Source organism: Homo sapiens, chromosome 18 (genome assembly GCF_000001405.40).
Source record: "Homo sapiens chromosome 18, GRCh38.p14 Primary Assembly".
In the NCBI taxonomy this organism is placed as follows: Eukaryota; Metazoa; Chordata; class Mammalia; order Primates; family Hominidae; genus Homo; species Homo sapiens.
Genome location: NC_000018.10, coordinates 12,191,911 through 12,199,315, shown reverse-complemented (window position 1 = coordinate 12,199,315; position 7,405 = coordinate 12,191,911). Strand labels below are relative to the sequence as shown.

General features: G+C 41.5%; 1 pseudogene; it reads left to right on the top strand.

Annotated features, from left to right (window-relative positions):
- On the top strand, window positions 6,342-7,269 carry PMM2P2 (phosphomannomutase 2 pseudogene 2; annotated as a pseudogene).

The window sequence follows — 7,405 nt, the reverse complement described above, 5'->3', positions numbered from 1 at the left end:
GACCCAAAACATCCGGGGATCTTTGTGCTTTTGACACTGAGGACTATGCTGGTCTGTAGGAAGATGTGCCTATAACTGCTCTGGGTTATGTGACCATGGAGGTCACTTTATGGTGATGGGCAGAGTCTGGGATCTCTCAGGCTCAGTGCTTTAGGGCTTGTACATGAATGCTGGACTCCTGCATGGTGATGAACACCCTGTGACTGATGCATAAGTGCATGTCAGCAGGTGACTGTCAGCATTGGGCCACACACCTGAGCTCATGTTTTGACTTTTTCATTCAGGAGCTCAAAAGCTGGGGCCACTCCCATTGGCCCTTCAGATTCTCCACCTGAGCAGTGAGGGGAATGAAAGGTGGCTCTGGCACGGGTGAATGAGTCATGTATGGAGAGAGTAGAACAGGGGTGGATTTTACTTTTTAGAAGTGGAGACTGGCAATTGTGCTGTGTAAATGGAAAATCTCTCCTGAGAAAACACACAGCCTCCCCTATACGAAAACACACACAATCATATCACACGATGCAGACTCATAAGACACCAGGCAAGCGCACAGCCCAGCGCCCCCATAGGAGTGCAGCTGCTTCATCAGATGGAGACATTTGGTCATAATTTTTGCTTGGAGAACTTAAAAAAAAAGTCCACTACCCTTATTCCTATCAGAATCCCAGAATCAGGGTGGCTCTTCACATTGAAGCCAGCAAGGATGTCACACCTTTCTTGGCATCCAGACTTTTCTTTCTCAGCAAGTAATTCCAGAGTACTTACTGGAGTCACACCTCAGAGGGGCCGCCTGCACAACCTGCAATACAGAAACAAAGCTATATGAGGGGCACATTGAGCTGTGGATTGTTTGCACCTGGCTCTGTTTCTCTCAAAGAGCATTAAAAACTGCATCAGAAACTGTAGTCAACTCCAAGGCCCCCAAAACAAGGGTAGGATGCACACTGGAAAAGACATGAGCTTTTCCTAGAAGGTGTATCTCTTAGGTCCATTTAGGTCGGCAAGTGCAAAATGCTTAATCCAAGAAGACATTGCTTCCAAGAACAAGGACCCCAGGGATACAGTCTATAACCTGAGGCCATCATACGTAAATGTCATTTTGGATTACATATCAGTTGCTGAGAATATCTTCTTCCACCACCCCAGAAAACAGTATTTAATGTCTATAATGCACATTGTTATTTTTTTCACATGTAAAGTTAATTGAAAAAGCAACCAAGAAAGGAACATGTCTATTTTAGGGAAAGCAAGGCAACCTCACCCTCACGTCGATCGGCCTCTCTTCATCTCCTCTGCCCTCATGAGCTGGAAACTCCTGCGAGGCTAGAAGGACACAGAGCAACTGTCGGTCATAGATGCTTCTGTTCATGATTTATCCAGGGAGCTCTGCTGAATGTAGACAATAGGACAGTGTGTGTGGATGTGTTCGGTTAAAAGCACAGCTTGGACTGCACTAGAAAATTTTTCCTCATGAAAAGACAGGCAAGAAAGAGGAGCATGAAAGGAGTGAGAAACTGAGTCCCTGGCATTTTGCTAATGGCAACCTAACGCAACAAGAATAAGTCAGTCTACAAACAGTACTGAAGTACATGCTGTAATTTGATGAGAATCCCATTACTCACACTGCTGGTTTTGAAACCCAGCTAAATGGTTTTCTAAACCCCGTAAAACAATATTAGCTTGTAAGATTTATGTCCCAAGACCATTTTTATGTCAATGGATCCACATTGGCTGTCACTGCAGTTATTATGTGTTTTAGGATTTTGCACTTGAATAAAAGCAAAGTTTAATGGACAGATTGGATTCAATTCCAGGCAAAAGTCTATTGTATTTATTCACTAATCATTTGTTATAACCAATGACAGAATTAGAAACACTGAAATTATATCCTTTAAAATAACCATTATTAATAACCCACTATTTTTTCATCCAGACCGCCTTTTCTTTGTCATGTATGCATATTAGTTGAGTTTGAAGAATATCTGTGCTTGTTCTGGCCAGCTAATGTTGGACAGTTTATTTCAGGAGAGGAGATGTGGGTTGAATACTGGTATGTTTTAACTCTGCAGTACAAACAGTTGCAACAAGTTTGGTGAACTAATCACCAAATGGCCCTTTGCTGCCTTATTTGTCATTCTGCCTCATGTGTAGCTTGCAGGATTTGATCACTCCTAGGTCTTTTGGTGATAATACACTCTACTGTTTCAAAAATATTTCTTCAATCTTACCTGTTTGGGGCCAACTGCTGAGGAGTGTCCTCAGCACTGAAAGAAGTTCATGAAAGTCTCTCAGTGCTGCTTCCCAGTGACCAGAACTTGTGACCTGGCCATGGCATGAGAAGTATCTGGGCCCTCTCTGTACTGCCCACACCAATGGCTATGCCCAGTGATACAGTTACATTCACTGATGTCTGCCCTAAGCTATGTGATTACTGTGGCCACCCTGTAATCACAGCCAGTGCCTGGGATGTCTGCAGACTCACATAAATCTAGGACACACATGAGTGAGGGAGCCACCTATGCTTATAACTCATGGCAGGATTGAAAGCCACCCCTCTCAGCATGATAACTGCAGTTCAGCGACTCACTGCTTCAGCCTTGGGGCCACATGTCTAGGTTCACATCTTGTCTCCTTCACTTAGGATCCTGCAAGTTTGCGCACATTCATTTAGCACCTCAGTTTCTCCATCTAAGGAGTCTGGACAGTAAACTACCACAACTCAGGTGAGGTTTGTAGTGAGGGTTGAATGGGGTACTAAAAGTAAAGTGTGTGTTGTGTATGGTCAGCAAGGTCAATTAGAGGTGAACTGACTTGCCTGAGGTCTCACAACTTAGCAAGATTCAGAGCTGCTTTCAAACCCAGGAGATAAGCTTCCAAGTCAGGGCTGATTCCATAACACAGACCTGTTTTGTCCAAAAATAACCACTTCAGCTTAGCCCAAACTTGGTTTTGAAGGAATCAGATAGCTCTAGGTGTCAAAAATGCTTTTGGTGACATCCTGATTCCATGCAGTGGCTACTTCCAAAAAAAATTTTTTTTAAAGTGAGTGCTGTCTACAAAATGAACCAGTAACCTGACAAAAAATCCACAGATACCTGGTCCAATGGGATGAACACCAGTTTACCAGGAGAGGAGAGTGACCTGCTATATCATCTTGGTGTTCTAAACTCATGATACACTATTATCTCTTATGACTTATTCCTCCCAAATGTAAGTGGCTCTGCCTGAGCCCACTGCCCAGCTACAGAGATGAGCACAGCCCAGCCTTGGAGCAGTGCTCGGGATGAAGCGACAGGAGAACCATTTTGGGCATCTCTTACCTCTGAGGAGGGCAATGGGTTGGGTGAAAGTATATTATTGATATGTCTGTAAGTAGAGAATTCTGCGTAATACACAAAAATATGCTTAGGAATCATGTTGTGGTAGATAAATGGACCTAGACACAGACATTATCATTAGATATTTGGGAAAACTCATGATATGAGGAGAAGCAAAAGCAACAGGCTCCACACGTCATGAGCTCAGTATACATTTCCGTCTCAGGAAAAGAAGGAAGCCATGTTAAAAGGAAGGTCAGGCTTCCTTCATTTGTGAAAAGCTTCCCTGCACATTTCCTCCACTCCAGATTCACTGCAAATTTCTGATATTAGTAATTAAAAAGGTCATTAATGATGTTAAAGCAAAGACAAAATAGACATTGCCATATTCTTCCAGTTACTAGCTAACAGGGAGCCTTGCTGTGCAGAACAGAATGAGAAATACCACGTATTACCAAAAGGAAAAAAACAAAGACATCATCTTGAAGAAAGAACTAAAACTATAAATTGTGGAATAAGAAGACAAATTATTTTTTGAACAATCTAACTAGGCCATTTGGAAGGACATCATTCAGTAGGGAGTATGAATTTAACTGTACAGTAGCAATATACATTTCATATCTTGAGAAAATAGATATGAAGCCAATAACTTCTCTACCTTTTTATATATAGAAAATATGAAATAATCTATAAGAATGCTATTAATGTTAACAAGTTCAAAGTTGCAGAGTATAAGGCTGACACTCAAATGGCAGCTGTGTTAATATACACCAACAATGAACAGTCCAATAAGAAAATTGCATATGTAATTCCATTTATAATAACATGTAAAATGATTACATACTTAGTAAGATAACTAACCGAGGAAGCAAAATACTTACACCTCAATAAGAACAAAACATTGCTGAAATAAAGTAAAGAGGATATAAATAAGTAGAAAGGCATCCTGTATTCATGGACAGGAAGACTAAACATTATTCAAGTGCAATACTATACAAAGTGATGTACAGATGCACCACAACCCCTGTCAAACTGCTGACAACCATGTTTGCAAAAATGGATAAGAAAACCCTCAATTTTGAATGAATTTTCCAGGGGTCTCAAATATTCAATAACATTGTAAAAGAAGAATTGTGTTGGAGGACACACGTTTATGAGATTGAAATGTACAATACAGTTACATATACTTAAAAAGTATGGTCCTAGAATTAGGGCACCCATAAGGACCACTGGGACTGATAGAGAGCCCAGAATTAAACGCATACATATATAGCCAAGTGATCTTCAACAAAGTGCCATAAATATACAATGGAAAGTGGAAAGCCTCTTCAGCAAATGATGTTGGTAAAACTGCACATTCTCATTCAGATAAATGAACTGAATGTTTACTTTACACCATATAAAAAATTAATTCAAAATGTGTCAGAGACCTAAATATAAGAGCTAAAATTATAAAACTCTCAGAAGAAAATATTGGGATAAGGTTTCATGGCAGTGAATTTAGCAACCTTTTAATGAATAAGACACTAAAAATAAGGCAATGCTTAAAAAAATCAATTTTTATCCCAGAACTTAAAGTATAATAAATAAATAGAAAAAAATCAATTTTACACAAATTAAGGAAGTTTGTACATCTAAAGTTCTAAAAAAAGGGAGAAATATTTGCAAATTATACATCTTGTAAGAAATTAAAAATTAGAATATATTCTAAAACTCCTAAAAATCTACAACAACAACAAACAAAAGACAAAAGACAATTCTAAAAATGGGCAAAGTACCTGAATATATAAGTCTCTAAAGGAGGTATACCCAGCAGAGGAAAAGCTGCTCGGCATCACTAGTCATTGGGGAAATGCAAGTGAAAAGCACAAACAGGTTCCAATATACACCTACTAGGATAATTTTCTTTTTTTTTAGACGAAGTCTTGCTGTGTTGCCCAGGCTGGAGTGCAGTGGCTTGATCTTGGCTCACTGCAACCTCTAGCACTCAGGTTTAAGCGATTCTCCTGCCTCAGCCTCCGAAGTAGCTGGGATTACAGGCGCGTGCCACCACGCCCAGCTAATTTTTGTACATTTAGTAGAGACGGGGTGTCAGCATCTTGGCCAGGCTGGTCTTGAACTCCTGACCTCGTGATCCACCCACCTCAGCCTCCCAAAGTGTTGGGATTACAGGTGTGAGCCACTGTGCCTGGCCTTAGGATAATTTTGTTTTGTTTTGTTTTGAGACAGAGTCTTGCTTTATCACCCAGGCTGGAGTGCAGTGGCACGATCTTGGCTTACTGCAAGCTCTGCCTCCTGGGTTCACGCCATTCTTCTGCCTCAGCCTCCCAAGTAGCTGGGACTACAGGCGCCTGCCACCACGCCTGGCTAATTTTTTTTCTATTTTTTAGTAGAGACAGGGTTTCACTGCGTTAGCCAGGATGGTCTCGATCTCCTGACCTTGTGATCCACCTGCCTCACCCTCCCAAAGTGCTGGGATTACAGGCGTGAGCCACCATGCCCGGCTGGATAATTTTTTTAAAGGAAAATAATTTAAAATAAGTGTTTAAAGGAAAACAAGAAATTGTAACTGTGATACATTGCTGGTAGAAACGTATAAAGTTGCAATCACTGTGAAAAACAGTTTGCAGTTGCTCCAAAGGTTAAACATAGAACTACCACTGGACCCAGGAATTCTAGTAGTAGGTATATACCAAAAAGAATGGCAAACAGAACTCAAAACAGATATTTGTACACTAATGTTGATAGCATCACTATTCACAAGGGCCAAAAGATGGAAAAATCCAACTATCAGTGAACAAATGAATGTATAAAAACAAAGTGGTATATACATGTAATGGTACATCATCCATCTGTAAAAAACAATTTTGATATATGATACAATGCGGATGGATACTGAAAACATTATGCCTAATGAAATAAGCCAGACACAAAAGGAATATTGTAGGATTCTACTAAAATCAAGTGCCTAGAATAATCAAATGCATAGACACAGAAGATGGGATAGAAATTACCATGGGCTGCTGCCAACCAGTCTTGTAAGGTGCAGTTGGAAACCGGGGACATGGCAGCACCCGGCCCAGTGCTCTGCCTTTTGGACGTTGATGGGACCCTGACCACCCTGCAGCAGAAAATTACCAAAGAAATGGATGACTTCCTACAAAAATTGAGGCAGAAGATCAAAATCGGAGTGGTAGGCAGGTTGGACTTTGAGGAAGCGCAGGAGCAACTGGGAAATGCTGTGGTTGAAAAATATGATTACGCGTTTCCAGAAAATGGCTTGGTAGCACACAAAGATGGGAAATCCTCGTGTAAATGGAATATTCAAAGTCACCTGGGTGAGGTCCAAATCTAAGATTTAATCAACTATTGTCTGAGCTGCAATGCAAAAATTAAACTCCTGAAGAAGAGGGGTACTTTCATTGAATTCTGAAATGGGATGTTAAACATGTCCCCTATTTGGAAGAAGCTGCAGCCAAGAAGAATGCATTGAGTTCTACGAATTCAATAAAAAAGAAAATATAAGAGAAAAAGCTGTAGCAGATCAAGGAAAGAGTTTGCAGGAAAAGCCCTCACGTTTTTCGTAGGAGGCCAGATCAGCTTTGATGTCTTTCCTGATGGATGGGGCAAGAGGTATTGCCTGTGACATGTGAAAAATGACAGTTATAAGGCCATTTATTTCTTTGGAGACAAAATCATACCAGGTGGCAACGACCATGAGACCTTCACAGACTCCAGAACCGTGGGCTACTCCATGACGGTGCCTGAGGACACACGCAGGTTCTGTGAAGAGCTTGCCTAATGTGTGAGTGGGAGGGGCAGGGGTGGTCCCGGCTGACTAGCCAGCAAGGGGCATTCGGTGGCCAAAGCCAAGGGCCCTCCCGCATATGCTCACCCACCCACAGCCCAGCCAAGCTCTGCGTACTGTGCCAAGCATGTGTGGTCTTGACCTGCACCCCTGACATGCCGTGCCTCCACCTCCAGTGCCAGAAGCTTCCAGAAGGGAGGAGAAAAGAGTTGTCAAGAATTGCTTAGAGGAATACCTCACATGAAAGATTTTCCCCACCCATCCGCGGCCCCCTAGTCTA